Raw genomic sequence first — 230 nt, forward strand, 5'->3', positions numbered from 1 at the left:
CTCGGTCCCTGGCAACCCGCTGGTCACTGTCTTCCAGGACTGGTAGAGGGCGGCCTTGGGCCCCTGCAGGCGGGAGGCAGGAGACGGGGCCTGCCCACCTCGCCCCAGGCTGCTGTGCCGCACCCAGGGTGGCCCAGAGCCGCGGTGCCAGCGGTGCCAGCCTGAGGCAGGGTGCAGTATAGGGACCTGGGCCAGGCCCCAGGGGAAAGCGCTTCCCTCCAGCCGCGGAC

The 230-nt window shown here is 72.6% G+C and overlaps 1 annotated feature.

Annotated features, from left to right (window-relative positions):
• Window positions 1-230: a silencer, noted in NCBI's record as "silent region_11766". NCBI's record gives its function as "represses an Ori minimal core promoter by ATAC-STARR-seq in GM12878 lymphoblastoid cells {active_cell/tissue: GM12878}" and the evidence as "EXISTENCE:reporter gene assay evidence [ECO:0000049][PMID:35858748]".

This window comes from Homo sapiens, chromosome 2, assembly GCF_000001405.40.
Source record: "Homo sapiens chromosome 2, GRCh38.p14 Primary Assembly".
Classification (NCBI taxonomy): domain Eukaryota; kingdom Metazoa; phylum Chordata; class Mammalia; order Primates; family Hominidae; genus Homo; species Homo sapiens.